The 17,298-nt window shown below is 40.0% G+C and overlaps 1 protein-coding gene across 4 annotated transcripts in view, besides 1 other annotated feature; it reads left to right on the top strand.

The window, feature by feature from the left end:
* Positions 1 to 17,298, top strand: part of UBTD2 (ubiquitin domain containing 2) — a 74,472-nt gene that overhangs the window by 39,388 nt on the left and 17,786 nt on the right. For 3 of the 4 annotated variants that reach the window (XM_047417875.1, NM_152277.3, XM_017010022.2), the window contains exon 2: positions 10,372 to 10,608. In XM_047417875.1, coding sequence (XP_047273831.1) covers positions 10,434 to 10,608 — 175 coding nt within the window. In that variant the 5' untranslated portion in view covers positions 10,372 to 10,433. Of the gene's footprint in view, positions 1 to 2,201; positions 2,338 to 10,371; positions 10,609 to 17,298 lie in introns of all 4 variants that reach the window. The other variant, XM_047417876.1, reaches the window with a different exon arrangement.
* Positions 9,553 to 9,602: an enhancer, noted in NCBI's record as "active region_23632". NCBI's record gives its function as "activates an Ori minimal core promoter by ATAC-STARR-seq in GM12878 lymphoblastoid cells {active_cell/tissue: GM12878}" and the evidence as "EXISTENCE:reporter gene assay evidence [ECO:0000049][PMID:35858748]".

Genomic DNA, 17,298 nt, shown 5'->3' with positions numbered 1-17,298 from the left:
ATACAAAACAGATTTCTTCCCTCACTTCGCAGGTTTTTGGGCATAATCAGTAGGGAGATAGGCTCTAGTGGGCTTATAACATCTTGACCTGCACCAAATGTCCAGGACATTTTAACACCAAAAACTGGGAGGGGCCGGGCGCAGTGGCTTACATCTGTAATCCCTGCACTTTGGGAGGCTAAGGCGGGCGGATCATCTAAGGTTGGGAGTTCGAGACCAACCTGACCAGCATGGAGAAACCCCGTCTCTACTAAAAATACAAAAAATTAGCCGGGCGTGGTGGCGCATGCCTGTAATCCCAGCTACCCCGGAGGCTGAGGCAGGAGAATTGCTTGCACCTGGGAGGCAGAGGTTGTAGTGAGACGAGATTGTGCCACTGCACTCCAGCCTGGGCAACAAGAGCAAAACTCTGTCTCAAAAAAAAAAAAAAAAAACTGGGAGGAAAGGGGAAACAGTCTTGCGATAAATTGATTCATCAAATAAAATTTAACATTCTTTTAAAATACTGTTGCTGACTTAATAGGTTTTTGTTCCAAATAAGCACTACCCCATAGATGAGGATATTTTTTCCATATATCCATTCAGTTGTTGGATTCTGACTGTAGAATGCCCCCAATCAGCTTGAATGTTCAAGGAGCACCAGAATATGTAGGAAGATTAGGCATGGGCCCAAATAGAACGTTGCAACTAGATCAATGTTTCCTTCATGCTGAAACCCAAGATGATGGTCTCCCTTTTTGAAACCAAGGAGGCAACCCTCTTGATCTCTGATTTGCCTCCGGAGTCATTCTTCCCATGTCTTGAAAAATAGTGCACGGTTTCAGCCATATAACTCTGTGGTCGTATCCTGTAAAAAAAGAATTCCATTATCTGGGTGGCTTAAACAACGCCAAAAAAAAAATTCTTTGGGAGGCCGAGGCGGGTGGATCACCTGAGGTCTGGAGTTCGAGACCAGCCTGGCCAACATGGTGAAACCCCGTCTCTACTAAAAATACAAAAATTAGCCAGGCATGGTGGCAGGCGTCTGTAATCCCAGCTACTCAGGAGGCTGAGGCAGGAGAATCACTTGAACCCTGGAGGCAGAGGTTGCAGTGAGCTGAGGTCGCGCCATTGTACTCCAGCCTAGGTGACAAGAGAAAAACTCCCTCTCTTAAAAAAAAAAAAAAAAAAAAAAAGGTTTCTCACAATTCTGGAGGCTGGAAAGTTTGAGTCAAGGTGCCAGCTGATTTGGTATCTGGTGAGGGCGTCCATCTTCCTGTTTTACATACAGTTATCTTCTTGCTGTGTCCTCATGTGGCAAGGAAAAATCATCTCTCTTCTCTAGTCTTACAAGGTCACTAGTCCCATTCAGTGCCCCATCTCCAAATACTATCACATTGGGTATTAGATCTTCACCACACAAATTTTGTGAGGACACACATGCAGTCAGTCTATAGCCATGCTGTGGAACTTCAATTGTATAAGCTATTGGTAAGTGATATCAGGGTCAGAACTGGAGTACCTTATTGTATTTTATGTCTTATTCTTTACAGGGTTTGAGGATTTTTCCCCAAAAAAAGTTTTATTGGCAAAGTATTCAAATATTAAAAAAAAAAAAAAAAAGGCCAGTCATGGTGGCTGACACCTGTAATCCCAGCACTTTGGGAGGCTGAGGCAGGAGGCTCACTTGAGCCCAGGAGTTTGAGACCAGATTCGGTAACGTAGTGAGACCCTGTCTCTACAAAAAAGCAATTTGAAGGAGACAATGTGGGTCAATTTCGGAGCATACATAGTGACTGAAATTTATTTTAATATATTGACTAAATAAAAGTTCATGAATCCTTACTACTACTAAAAAGGGAATGAGGGAAGACCTTTTTCTTACCAAAGAATGCCAGTATTAAAGGAAGAAAAGAATGACATACTTAGAAGAATCACCCTTTTACAACCCTGTAGCTGATTCAGGTAAGGATCATCAATAGATATACTAAAGCATCATGGGTAACAGGATATTCAAGATGTCAGAGATCACCCCCTGTACTGGTAATTGCCAAGGACAAATTATACCATAGACGTGACATTCAGTTGCCTTAACCAAGTAGCCAAACTTAGCCTTCTCATGTGTTGCAATATAAAGAATATAAGACATATATGAAGAATTCTTACTCAAAATGTTTTACTTGACTCTAATAAAGCTTCTAAACCTAACTTCCTATTTATAGGTTAATACAAAGGGTAAAGGAACAAGTTAAAATGTCTTCACACATTGCCGTATATCCCCTGGAGGGCAAAACTGTCCCCAGCTGAGAAATGCTGGCCTACATCAAATGACAACACATAAGCCTTGATTGGAACTTGGTATGAAAAACATTTTGGGAAAGTTGGATAAATCTAATAAATAAGACTTCATAATAGATGATATAAATTTTTTAAAAAATTTTCTTAGGTATGACAACGATATTATAGTGTGTTAATCTGACTGTTTGCCTTGCCATAAAGGAATACCTGAGACTGGGTAATTTATAAAGAAAAGAGTTTTATTTGGCTCATGGTTCTACAGGCTGTACAGGAAGCATGGCACTGGCCTCTGTTCCTGTTGAGGGCCTCAGGGAGCTTACAATCATGGCGGAAGGCAAAGGGGGAGCCATTGCATCACATAGCAAGAGAAAAAAAGGGGAGGAAGTGCTGTATTCTTTTAAACAACCAGATCTCATGGGAAGGGCACCAAGCCATTCATGAGGGTCTTCCTCTGTTGCCCAGGCTAGAGTGCAGTTGCACGATCGCAGCTCACTGCAGCCTACATCTCCCAGGCTCTAGTGATCCTCCCACCTCAGTCCGCAAGTAGCTGGGACTACAGGTATATACAACTACACCCAGCTAATTTTTGTATTTTTTGTAGAGATGAGGTTTCGCCGTGTTGGCCAGGCTGGCTGGTTTCAAACTCCTGGGCTCAGGTGATCCTTGCATCTTGGCCTCCTAAAGTGCTGGGATTAGAGGTATGAGCCAGCACACCCAACCAGCCTTATACTTCTTTTTAAAAAAACTTTTATTTACCATAGTGAGAAAAAGTGTCAGAAAAGCCTTATACTTTCAATTATAGAGGTTTTGTAATACCTGGCCCTACCAGATATCAAACTATATTATATCATCTGCAATTATATATATAATCTAATTATATCTAATTACAGGTTTGATATATTATCTGCAACTAGAGTTAGTTTTATTTCTGGTCCTTAAATTTCTAGTTGTTTTATTCTGTCTCATTCTGCATCTAACACTGTTTCCAAATAGTGTTAAAAGTGGAGATAGTGGGCATCTTTTTTTTTTTTTTTTTTTTAATTGAGACAGAGTTTCATTCTTGTCACCCAAGCTGGAGTGCAATGGCATGATCTCAGCTCACTGCAACCTCCACCTCCAGGGTTCAAGCGATTTTCCTGCCTCAGCCTCCTGAGTAGCTGGGATTACAAGCACCACTGCGCCTGGCTAATTTTGTATTTTTAGTAGAGACGGGGTTTTGCCACGTTGGCCAGGCTTGTCTCAAACTCCTGACCTCGGGTGATCCACTCACGTCGGCCTCCCAAAGTGCTGAGATTACAGGTGTGAGCCACCGTGCCCGGCCAGCATCCTTGATTTATGTGTGTGCCTTCTTTCTCATGAATTGAGAGAAGAAAAGGTCTCTACAATAAAAAAAAAAAAAAGTTAACTCATGGTAAAGCCATTGCCCCCAACCAGTAAAATAAACCATCTTAGAGTTTATATACTACTTAAAAGTTGCAGTGGTCTCATGTTAGGTGATCATATTCTTTTATTTATATATATGTATTTATGATAGAGACAGGGTCTCAATATGCTGCCCAGGCTGATCTTGAACTCCTTGGCCACATTGATCTGTCTGCCTTGGCCTTCCAAAGTGCTGGGATTACAGGCATGAGCTACCACACCCAACTGCCTAGGCGACCATATTCTTAGTCCCAGTTTCATATAATATTATCTTTCTCAATAAAGTTGTTTTGTGGAGTGGGGAGGACTTAATTGTGTGATTTCTTAATACTTTTAATAAGACTGACCCATTAAGAAAAGTTTTGTAGGATCTGAGAGCTATAGTTAAAAAAAAAGTGGGGGGAAAAGTCTTTGAACATACTATGTTGCGGTAGGTGTTACAAAATGTTGCCTGTTTGTATGCTCAGATCATTGGTAAGGGGACTTACACTCTGAGAATCAGGGCTAGGAATTCATTATGAAGTTATGTTGATTTTTTTCCCCCCAATAAAGCTACCTCAAAAACATTGAAATTATATAAATGCCTTTAAAATTATTATGCTTCAATTGGTAAGCTTTAGGATATGAGCATGGCAGAAGTTCATTTTTATTTCATTTTTAATAAAATTATAGTACGGAAAATGATGTATCTAACTTGTCTAGGCAGATATTCCTACATACGATCCTTAGTCTCTAATTTGTTGTAGATGCTAAGTACTTATAAGTTGAAAGTGATAGGCCGTAAAGCCACATCACCCCTTCTTTACTGCAGGATTCCTCTTCAGTGATCATGGTTGGTATCTCCACAACATAGATTAAGTGGTAGATTAGATAGGGCTAGGGAGCTGCTGCTTCTCCTTTGTTAGCTTTTCCTTTGTCTGGTCATAACCATTCCATTGGCCATAGTGAAGCCCATGGATGGATCATTTCTGTAGAAAAACAATTCAGCATATGCTTTATTTAGAGTGAATCTTCGTTATTGGTTTGCTATGTGAAAATAAGCAGCCCAGTAAGACATGGAGTGCTATAATGGAAAGAGAGATCTGGGCTTTGTTGTTGCTGTCTTCTGTTTTGTTTTGTTTTGTTTTGAGACGGAGTCTCGCTCTGTTGCCCAGGCTGGAGTGCAATGGTGTGATCTCGGCTCACTGCAATCTCTGCCTCCCAGGTTCAAGCGATTCTCCTGCCTCAGCCTGCCGAGTAGCTGGGATTCCAGGTGCCTGCCACCACGCCTGGCTAATTTTTGTATTTTGGGTAGAGATGGGGTTTCACCAGGCTGGGCACGGTGGCTCATGCCTGTAATCCCAGCACTTTGGGAGGCCAAGGCTGGTGGATCACCTGAGTTCGGGAGTTCGAGACCAGCCTGACCAACATGGCAAAACCTTGTCTCTACTAAAAATATAAAAATCAGCTAGGCGTGGTGGCAGGCGCCTGTAATCCCGGCTACTCGGGAGGCTGAGGCAGGAGAATCACATGAACCTGGGAGGCAGAGGTGGCAGTGAGCCGAGATCATGCCATTGCACTCCAGCCTGGGCAACAAGAGTGAAACTCCATCTCAAAGGAAAAAAAGAGAGAGACGGGGTTTCACCATGTTGGCCAGGCTGGTCTCAAACTCCTGGCTTCAAGTGATCCCCCCTGCCTCAGCCTCCCAAAGTGCTGGGATTACAGATGTGAGCCACCGCACCCAGTGAGATCTGGACTTTGAATTTGGGCATGTGTGTTCTAGTACGGGGTGATTATTTTAAGCCATCCTTGTTACATCTTAGTTTCCTATCTGTCAGTAAGGTTGGATTATACAATCTAAGGTCTCTTCTACCTTTAAATTCTCAAACAGTAGAGAAGATTTGCATATTGTATTGATTGTTGGCATTTTAGGCATTTTAATTCCCATATCCCTATTTTTTTTTGGCAGTTAGTTGCTTTAGGTAAAGGGAATATATGTATTATGCATGTATGTATATATGTGTGTATATAGTGCATTCTAAATTTATGTGAAAATATTTGCAAGTGTCCTTTTAGTTTAGCACCGTCTGTTACGGAAGGGTTCTAATACTCCATTTTTCCCCTCACGCTATTGTCTTATGGAAACTGATGCTTCCAGTTTTCAACCGGTTAAAGCTGTTGCTTGAGTCATATCTTGATATTTTCACCTTATCCATGCATTATGGCCTCTTCTTTCTTCATTTGAAGCGTTCCATCATTAAATCAAGGTTTTCAAAGAGGAACCCAAAACAGGAAAACAATTATAATCATACTTAACTTCAGAATTGATTGTTTTTTACCAATGTCAAAATGAGTTTTTGGTAGAATGCTTTAAATTATGTAGTAAAAATATTTAAAATTATGTGTTATTTAGATCTGAGAAACAAGCCTTACTTGGGTTTTCTGTGTGTTAGATCTGTTTATTTGTTACAGAGTGGGAAGAAGTGTTTAAAGATTACAAGGAAAGATAAAGAGTGGGTGAATATGATTAAGAGGTTTCTGAGAAAAAGATGACTTTTGGACACGTTTTGAAGTAAATGTGGATTGATGGGGGAAAGGATATTTTCTGAAATAGATTGTGTGGTTTTTTAAGATTAGATTGCTTTATTAATTTTTTATTTCTCATATGTTAATTCATAGTGCACTAAAGATGGTTGGTTACCTGCAGTTTAAGGATAGAGAAGCAGAAATTTGGGGAATAAAAGATGTTTCCTGTCTTTAAATTCTTCACTGTTAGAGCATGGTACCTAGTCCTATATGCTATGTATGATTACCAAGCATCTCTCTTTTGGTATCAGCAGTCAGAAGATGTGTGAAGCAGATAAAACTGAAAGTTTAAGAGCATAAAATGAAATCTAGTTGAGTATGTATATATTCTACATCTTACAAAAATGTTTGGCTTGGTACAAACATGAGGTACTTAGCTGCCAGGCTGATAATCTATGTCCAACTACTGCATTTTCAGAAATACAGGTTTGTGGCACCACCTGAACTCAAAGGATAAGATTTGGTGAACAAATGCCTAGCAAGTGTACTCTGATAAGGCACAGGAAGTGCATGACAATCAGGGACATTTCTTTAACATTTAAGGAAGGGATTGGGAAGTTATGAAAAGAAGAAAGACAGCCTGTATATTTTTGCCAAAGGACTTAAAGATGTTATTTCATATAGTACCTCTAAGTTCATTTTTACTTATTTAGCAAACATTTATTTGCAGTTTTATTGTATATCATGCATTATTATGAGTGGTTTATGAATATGAACTTAAGTCCTCTTAACAAACCTAAATATTTTCATGTTTTCACGAGAGGATAGTTCAAATGCTTTTGCTAAATGCTAATTTTTTTCCCAGTTATTTATTTAACAAAGGTTAGTCATTTAGTTTAACATGAAGCTTCAAGCCTCAGATTTTGTAGTGAAAATTCTGCACTGCTCTGTGGTTTCACTAAAGTAATTATGTTACAAAGATTTAATCATTTTTTAACAGTGGACATTCTATAGACAGATATTCTATATTATGTTTATAATACAGGCAGAAATAGGCAAATAAAAGTAATCTTCCTTCATGTCACAAATTACCGTGAAACTTTTGACAGCATGTAGATTTGAAAATGCATTGGGGGCCTGTCGCAGTGGCTCATGCCTGTAATTCCAGCACTTTGGGAGGCTGAGGCGGGCGGATCATGAAGTCAAGAAATTGAAACTATCCTGGCCAATATGGTGAAACCCCGTCTCTACTAAAAATACAAAAATTAGCTGGGCATGGTGGCGCGGGCCTGTAGTCCCAGCTACTCGAGAGGCTGAGGCAGGAGAATCGCTTGAACCCAGGAGGCGGAGGTTGCAGTGAGTCGGGTTGCACCAGTGCACTCCAGCCTTGGCGACAGAGCAAGACTCTGTCTCAAGTATATGAATAAAATTTAAAAATTAAAGAAAATGCATTTGGAATGATTTTCCTTAAGCAACATAAACGCATCATCTGTTCTTTTTGTGGGACTTTGTTCATCTATGCTTAGTACAAACGGAGAGAGGTGAAATGAACCTACCTCACATTTGTAAGGAAGGTGTTTTACAATTTTTCCAAGGTACTTTGTACCCTTATTATGATTGTTTTTCTGTTGGCTTCCTCTTTTCAAAGTCCTCTTCCTTTCATTTGCTTTAGTTTTAGGTCCTGAGATTCTTCTGTAGAGGTTTTGTTGTTTTTGTCCATGCTTTGTAATTCTCTCAGAATGACAGGAAAAATTATACTGAGTTATCTCTCATGCATTTAATACATATGAGGCCAGATAATTCTGTAGAAATACTCAGACCCAAAACTTTATTCAGATAAATATCTTACTGAGTCTACCTGCTTACTGTGCCATCTTCCACTTCCTGGTCAGTAAGCTGAGTGTTGTCTGTAAACTGTCTCTAACTCATCTAAATGATAATGTAGCAGAAAATAAAATCAACCTTGCATTCCATCGTGTTGGTGCAATCAGTGGGTTGTGGTTATCAGACCAGATTCTGAACATCTTCTAGAGAATTATGCTCTAGCTGCATTGTCTGTATTATTTGGAAGAGGTAGGGAAAAATCATTAGTATAGACTGTGTTTCTCGCATTTGAATTAAATGTAATAGGCACATCTGTAGTGTTACTCCCAGTAGACACTCAGTACATATTTGTTGATTAAATAAAGAGACTTGGATTCTGTTTCCAGCTCTGCTACTAAATGGATGGGTTTCCTATTCTGCTTCCTCACCCTTTCAGAACTCACCTGTTTTGCATTTCACTAGGACAAGTTAGAGGGCAAAAAGTATTTGAGTTAATGCTGAGTGTTTTAAGTGGAAAACAGCTAGTCTTTTGGTGTGCCACCCTGAGGGGAGAGGACAGAAGAGACCTGACCTGGCAGTCTTTATTGAGAATATAGCCTGGAGAGTAGAGATAGCCCAGGGTCTGGAGTCATTTTATTTTCTGTTTTGCATAGTCCAAATTTCATCTGGCCCTGGGCCAATGAGGGAGTAGTCAATTTCATGGATGCTTTAGAACCAGTTTGAGAGTGATTTCTTTAAAATTGGTATTCTTTCTGCAATTAAATATAGAACATTGAATTTTGACACACACCCTCTCTCCTTCCCACTCGCTGTGTCATTTATTTCCCACCCACTCTTTTCCAACACTCTTCTTATCTTTTCATCCAGCTTCAATTTTCTTTCTATCTTCTATCCCATCTATCAAACTATTCCCTATCTATAGCACTGTATAATCTTACAGAGCCATAAATAAGAATGGCTCTGTAGGTCAGTATGACCCATGGAAATAGATCACAGATAATACACCAGATGGTTATCTGGGTGCAAGGATGCTGCATCAGGCTTATTCCAGCGCTACTACTACATAACATTGTCTAAGGGGAGATGCTGCCACTTGCCCTCTGTTTTCTTCTTCTCTTGGGTTGAAACTAGGGTAGGGTATCATAGTTCTTCTGCTCCTTGTGGTTCGGAGCTAATCCCTTGGCCTAGCATCAAAGATTATCTCTTTTACTCCCAGTTCCTCAAAAAAACTAAAGTACTGATTCTACCCTTTGTAAATTAGTTCCTGTTTGAGTTCCAGAGAAAGGTATTTACAGTTCCTTGACTAAAGTCCAGAGAGTAGAATGCTAGAGGAAGCATTCCTCTAATCAGTTTGTTCATGATTCTGGTGGTTTGGCTCTTCTTTCTCTGGGCACTGAAAAGCAATCTTTTACCTCTTTGGATTTTCTCAGTTCCTACTTCCTGGTTTCATGTGTCCAAGCTACTATTGCCGTTTGCTTCCCCAAGTATCTTGCCTCTCTTTCGTGGTGTCTCTTGACTCTCATATCCTGCTCTTACAGTCTGATGAAACACTTACCTTCTAGGCAGTTCTTTTAAAATGAACAAAACAAAACTTTCATTGTATTAAAAAAAAATTTTTTTAGAGCAGTTTTAGATTCATAACAGAATTGAGAGGAAGGTACAGAGATTTCCTATGTACTCCCAGTGCCTACACATACATAGCCTCCTTTCCCTGATTATCAGCATCCTCCACCAGAGTGGTACATTCATTACAACTATAATTCTCTGGGGTTCTTTAGTTTTGTTTTGTTTTGTTTGAGATGAGGTTTCACTCTCGCCCAGGCTGAAGTGCAGTGGCATGATCATGGCTCACTGCAAACACAACCTCCCAGGCTCAAGTGATCCTCCCACCTCAGCCTCCCAAGTAGCTGGGACCACAGGCACATGCCAACATGCCAGGCTAATTTTTGTGTATTTTGTAGAGATGGGGGTCTCACCATGTTGCCCAGGCTAGTCTCGAACTCCTGGATTCAAGCCTTCCTTCCACCTCAGCCTCCCAAAGTGCTGGGATTACAGGTGTTGAGCTACTGCACTCAGCCTGTAATTCTTTTTAATGATCCTGTGGAGGGTGTACTGAGTGGAAAAGAGCTACCAATTTGTTTTGCATAGAGCAGTCTAATGTCTCTATTCACTTTTGTAGTTCCAAAATGTGTTAGAGGAATTTCAGGATGCACAAATTAGCTAGCAGGTAAATTTCTGGCTGTGATTTTGATGAAATAATCCAAGAGAGGAATGACCAGATAACTTTTGATACATATTTTATAAATTTTGGGTTTGATCTCAGTCTTTTATTTTTCTTTTCAGTTGCTCTAGGTCGTAACCAGCCTTTGAAAAAGGAGAAACCAAAATGGAAAAGCGATTATCCTATGACAGATGGACAACTACGCAGCAAGAGGGATGAATTTTGGGATACAGCACCAGCTTTTGAAGGCCGGAAAGAGATTTGGGATGCCTTGAAGGCTGCTGCACATGCTTTTGAGAGCAATGATCATGAACTGGCACAAGCAATCATTGATGGTGCAAACATAACATTACCACATGGTAGGTTTGGTGTTCCTCAAGGACAGAGGAAACATAATCAACTTTGTTTCTGATAGCAAGAAACCAAATGGGAGAGTGTTTTTCCTTGCTATGAATTATTCTAACTTTTTTTTTTAATGTAGCAAGGAATAGCATTCCTCTTTTTTTCTTGTACATCTTTCAGCTGGAGACAGGTTTTACTTTGTGTGTTTGTGTATACGTATATATTTTTTAAATATATCTTAATTTCAGAAAAGAACTCTTGATCATCTAAAAAGTTTCCGTGTAACCTAGTCCTCCATGAAGACCTCTTCCCTCCACCCTCCCACCCCCACCTCACCAGCCTCATCACCCTGCCAATCTATTGGAGCTTCCACTTCACTGGTTTCCTCCTAGCAGCGCTAGAGATAGAGTCTCAGTTTAGATTTTGTAAGCTGTAGAGACTCAGAGGATGCTCCTTTTAGTCATTATACTTTCTCATCAAGCCTATTTTTGGCATAATAAGCAAACCCAAACTTAGAAGAGAGTCCCGCATGTTTTTAAGGACAGTTTTCCATGATTGTAGCCCTGAGCATTCTTAGGAACTTCTCTCTTTTGCGTAGGAATGTGACTCTTTTAAGGATAACTGTAAGCTTTGAATGTTTCTGGGGATACACATATGCTGGTCCATGTACATACTCTTGTTTGGTCTCCTTGATGAGAAACATAGAATTTTTCATGCTACATTGAGATTTAGGTGTTAATTTTGTATTTACATTTTTTATTTCTGTATTAATATTCTCAGTATTCTCTTTAGTTTTTCAACTTAATATTTTTCAAGGTTGTCTTTTCAGATTTATGTAATAACCACCTTGCATTGATTCTATTCATTATTGTACCTTCATTGTTTTAATCCCTAGTACGTCCCTTTATCTACATTCTTAGAGGAACAGGGACTTTCATTGTTGAACCATCTGCTTTATGTCCTTTCACTGTATGTCACATGAAAGATTTTTATTTTATTCTATTCTTTCTCTCTCTCTTTTTTGAGACAGAGTCTTGCTCTGTCGCCCAGCAGGCTGGAGTGCAGTGGTGCACTCAGCTCACTGCAACCTCCGCCTCCTAGGTTCAAGTGATTCTCGTGCCTCAGCTTCCCCACCATGCCTGGCTAATTTTTGTATTTTTAGTAGAGACAGGGTTTCACCATGTTGGCTAGGCTGGTCTCAGCTCCTGACCTCAGGTGATCCGCCCGCCTCAGCCTCCCAAAGTCCCTTTTTTTAAGAGACAGGTCTCACTCTGTCATCCAGGCCAGAATGTGGTGGCACGATGACAGCTCATTGCAGCCTCGACCTCCCAGGCTCAAGAGATCCTCCCACCTCAGCTTCTCAAGTACCTGGTACTACAGGCACGCATCACCATGCCTGGCTACTTTTTTTTTGTTTTTTTGTTTTGTTTTGTTTTGTTTTTGGAGAGGCATGGTCTCACTATGTTGCCCAGATGATCTCGAACTCCTGGGTTCAAGCAATCCTCCTGCCTTGGCCTCCCAAAGTGCTGAGGTTATAAGCATGAGCTGCTGTGCCTGTCCAAAAGATACTTAACTTACTATATCCTTGCCAGATTCCAAATCACCATTAGTTTTCTGATTAATTGTGCTTCCAAGAAACATTCCTTTTTTTTATAGCTGCCTGTTCTTTATTATGAAAGTTTATTAGCATAGTCTTCTGTTACTAATGTTATTGAGCACCCACTGATCACTTTTTCTATACATGTATAAAAGTGATCCCTCCTACATTTGAAGAATTTATAATAGAATGCCATTTTCAGTGTGACTTTTTTTTTTTTTTTTTATGACAGTGAGTCTTTTTCTTTTGGTAACTTATTTTATTTTTTTGAGACAGGGTCTCACTCTGTTGCCCAGGCTGGAGTGCAGTGGCATGATCTTGGCTTACTGTAACCTCCACCTCCCAGGTTCAAGCAATTTTCATGCCTCAGCCTCCCAAGTAGCTGGGATTACAGGCATGTGCCACCAGGCCCAGCTAATTTTTGTATTTTTTTGGTAGAGACAGGGTTTCGCCATGTTGGCCAAGCTGGTCTCGAACTCCTGGCCTCAAGCTATCTGCCTGCCTTGGCCTTCTAAAGTGCTGGGATTACAGGCGTGAACCACTGCACCTGGCCTCAGTATGACTCTTTAGTCTCAGTTTTCATGGATAGTCTCTAAATTCTTTACTTTTATGTGATTGTGGGTTGGGAGGTGGTGGGCATCATCTTAGTCCATTTACCTTTTTCAGTTTTGTAATTATCGTCTTCACATACCACCTTTATATAATATAACGGGAAGGAGTCTTCCTTTACAGATAGTTTTATCATCCTTCTCTTTTTGATGTCCATATCCTCTGTTTTTCAAGGAAAATATATGTTTTATAGACCTGTATGTGGGTGGAAGAAGAGTCATGTATGTGTGATTGTGTGAGATCCAGAATGTTGGAACTTTGAATTTCTTATTTTGTACTTATAATTACCTACTGGAATACCTGGTTGCATTCTGTATATTGTAGCCTTGTTTAAAACTTCATGGAGCCAAAATAATTCTGTTGCATGTAAGGCTGGGCCTCATGCATATCCTACTGGATGTGGGCTCAGATCACTAAAGACCGAAGTCCCTCATTTCTGCTTCTCTGTGGAAAATGTTCCCGGCAGCCCTGCCTACCAGCAGATCAGGGAGAATTACTCTCAGAAATTCAAGAATTATTAGATGACCCTCTATTTGCCTTCTATGTTTAAGGAATATTTTCTCCTTAAGCATGGAATAATCAAGCCAATATCTGAGCCTTTCTCTTTCAAAACTCTGTGATAACATTCTGGGTGTTAATATTGTCACTGATGCCCTTGATTGACTTCTTTTGTTCATATCTGAATCTTGTCAATATTTCTTGGACCTTATAATTTTGTTTTGTCATGTACTCTAACTCACCATCAGTTTATAACTAGGCTATTGTATGCTTTTACCTAGACTGGCTTAGTGGTATTGCCGAAATTCTTTCCATCTTTTTTGTGTAATTACATGTTTGAGATTTTACTTTGGGCCAGGTGCAGTGGCTTACGCCTGTAATCCCAGCACTTTGGGAGGCCGAGGCGGGCAGATCATGAGGTCAGGAGATCGAGACCATCCCGGCTAACACGGTGAAACCCCGTCTCTACTAAAAATACAAAGGATTAGCCAGGCCTTGTGGCAGGCGCCTATAGTCCCAGCTACTCAGGAGGCTGAGGTAGGAGAATGGCATGAACCTGGGAGGCGGAGCTTGCAGTGAGCCAAGATCGCGTCACTGCACTCTAGCCTGAGCGACAGAGCAAGACTCCGTCTCAAAAAAAAAAAAAAAATAAGGAAAAAAATAAATTTTACGTTGGGCACATTGTGTTGTACTACCCCTTAAATATCCCAAAGCACTTTATATTTTAAGTTTAAATTATTACATAGACTTGACTATTATTTAGTTCAGCCTTCGATATCAGTTCTGGTCTTACTTCTGTCCCTACCGTATTACTTGCAGCTATGTGACTTTGGGCAAATCACATCTTCTGTAAGCTTCAATTCTCTCATATGTAAAATATGGATAATAACTGTCTTACCTCTTGGGATGGTTATGTTGATTAAATGTAATAATAATACATGTAAGTTGCTGATCAGAGTGCTCGGTATCCAAAAAGCACTTAATAAATAGTAGTGCTGATGATCTTATTTCCTGAACTCTGAAATTAACAAGTAAATTCCCTGTTCCCTGCACCAAAATTCTGAATTAAGATTTTGATCATTTTCTAAATTACCTTTTTTTTACTTTGAGACGGAGTTTCACTTTTGTCACCCAGGCTGGAGAACAAAATAACATTACACTTTTTAATTATCTTCCTCTGTTAATAACAACAGTAAGTCTTCAGTTTATTCTCAAGTGGCAATGGGGAGAGTAAGAGGGAACTTGTCATAACTACCTGTTAATTTTATGTATACACATACGGTATATTTTCATTCTGGAAATTGACTCATATTGAGAATGGTATGAACATATACTGTGGAAAAAGCTCCCCATGTGATTTTGATACCTGATACCTTTCAGTTTTCCTGCCCTGTATGAGCTTTATTTTTCATGATTTGCACAGCATGTTATTACTCATTGTCTTACATTTCTTGAAGAGCTTATTTCCTTTTTCTCATTGATTGCTATTTTGCCATTACCTACAAATCCTAAAAATATTCTTAATATAGTAGTTTACCAGTGAAACCAGGTTATAGATCAGCGATTTGCCAAATTGGTATAAACAGGGTAAGAAAAAAACAAGTAGTATTTACACTTTTCACACAGTTTCTGCGTAGTGAATAGTATACTATTCAGTACTTTTCAGTGAAAGCTTATTCAGAAACTGTATCTTGTAAAGATGAACACTTAATGCTTTTTGTAATTATGATATAGAAGATTTAAAAGGATTTTAGGAATTGCCTACTCCCTTCCTCTACCTCCTGATTTTCTAGAAAGGTAGTTGTTGATATTTGTTTAGCATCTACAATTATCTCATAATTTTTAGTGAGAATATTTTTTTCTAACATGTTTTCCATATCCCAGCAATTCAAATGTAAAAGCTCTCCTCTTTTTTTTTTTTTTTTTTTTTTTTTGAGACGGAGTCTTGCTCTGTCGCCCAGGCTGGAGTGCAGTGGCACAATCTCGGCTCACTGCAAGCTCCACCTCCCGGGTTCACGCCATTCTCCTGCCTCAGCCTCCCAAGTAGCTGGGACTACAGGTGCCCGCCACCATGCCTGGCTAATTTTTTGTATTTTTTAGTAGAGACAGGGTTTCACCGTGTTAGCCAGGATGGTCTCGATCTCCTGACCTTGTGATCCACCCGCCTCGGCCTCCCAAAGTGCTGGGATTACAGGCGTGAGCCACCGCGCCCGGCCAAAAGCTCTCCTCTTAACCTCCTTGAATAGATGGAGTAGCTAGCTACTCCCTGTTACTCAAACATGCTTTTCTACTGGGAAACAGAAATTTAACCCCGATTTTATTCATACTTATTATAGCTAAATGTTGCCAGTTCTTCAGTTTGGCTTTTGAGGACCTGTTTCTTTTGTCCTTAACCCTTAAGGGGTATGGGAGGTAGAAAAAGTTAATTCTTAAAAGGCTTAACTTTTTTTATTTCTCTTTTCACAGAGTTTGTTATATGGGTGGGAAAGGAGTTCCCCAGAATGTTTTTTTCTTTATCTCAAAATATATTAAATGTGCATTATGTATAATAAAATTTAATTTTTAAAAAAACAAAGGCACTTACAAATAGTATAAAGAGCATGTTATGTGTAAGGAACCAACGTATGAAAAGAACACTGGACTGAGAATCAGCAATAAAATACTCAAAACTCATGTTGTTTTTATTTATTTGTTTATTTTATGTTTTTTTTTTGGAGACGGAGTCTAGCTCTGTCACCCAGGCTGGAGTGCAGTGGTGCGATCTTAGCTCACTGCAACCTCCACCTCCTGGGTTCAAGCAATTCTTGTGCCTCAGCCTCCCGAGTAGCTGAGATTACAGGCGTGCAGCACCACGCCCATCTAATTTTTGTATTTTTAGTAGAGACCGGGTTTCACCATGTTGGCCAGGGTGGTCTCAATCTCCTGACCTCAAGTAATCCACCCGCCTCGGCCTCCCAAAGTGCTGGGATTACAAGCATGAGCCACTGTGCCCACCCTCATGTTTTGAATTAACATTTAATTCTTATGCCTGTAATAATCACCTACAACAGTCCCCACTTTGCACAGATCAGAAAACTGAAGCACAGAGAGGTTGCATCATTCTTCCAAAGTATAAGTCTTGAAATTGGGATTTGAACTCAAGTCTTGGATCTAACAGTAACTAATGCAACTCAATGCCCTGGACAAGTCATTTCATCTCCCTGTTCTGTAAAGTGATTGCACAAGTAATCTTCAGTGTTTAGTCTATGTCTAATGTTTTAGTTCTCTTGCACACTATATAGAATACTTCAAAATAGTAAATTGTTAAAGAGAAAAAAGCAGATTCTCTTAAGACATAGACAGGAAATGCATGTGTGTAAGTCTTGTTTCTATTTTCCTTAGGTGTTTCAGAGGCCCATTAAGAAGCAGGCCATGAATTTTGGTGTGGACTTTAAAGGTTCCTATAAGAATTTTTCAGGCCGGGCACAGTGGCTCATGCCTGTAATCACAGCACTTTGGGAGGCCGAGGTGGGTGGATCACAAGGTCAGGAGTTAGAGACCAGCCTAGCCAACATGGCGAAACCCCGTCTCTACTAAAAATACAAAAATTAGCCGGGCATGGTGGCGGGTGCCTGTAATCCCAGCTACTCGGGAGGCTGAGGCAGGAGAATTGCTTGAACCCAGGAGGCATAGGTTGTACTCCAGCCTGGACGACAAGAGCAAGACTCTGTCTCAAAAAAAAAAAAAAAAAAAAAAAAAAGAATTTTTCATTTGGCCAGGCATGGTGGCTCACGCCTATAATCCCAGCACTTTGGGAGGCCAAGGCAGGCAGATCATGAGGTCAGGAGATCGAGACCATCCTGGCTAACGTGGTAAAACCCCATCTTTAATAAAAATACAAAAAAAAAAAATTTGTCATTTAACAAAGTTGATAAGTTAATTCATAAACATAAAGCTTAGGAATGAAGGCATGAAGATATATTTACACAGGAGATGGGATTTTTGCTGGACTGTTGTAGGGTTT

This window comes from Homo sapiens, chromosome 5 (assembly GCF_000001405.40).
Source record: "Homo sapiens chromosome 5, GRCh38.p14 Primary Assembly".
NCBI classification, from domain to species: domain Eukaryota; kingdom Metazoa; phylum Chordata; class Mammalia; order Primates; family Hominidae; genus Homo; species Homo sapiens.
Note: the sequence above shows the minus strand (reverse complement) of the source record. Positions and strands in the feature narration are given on the sequence as shown.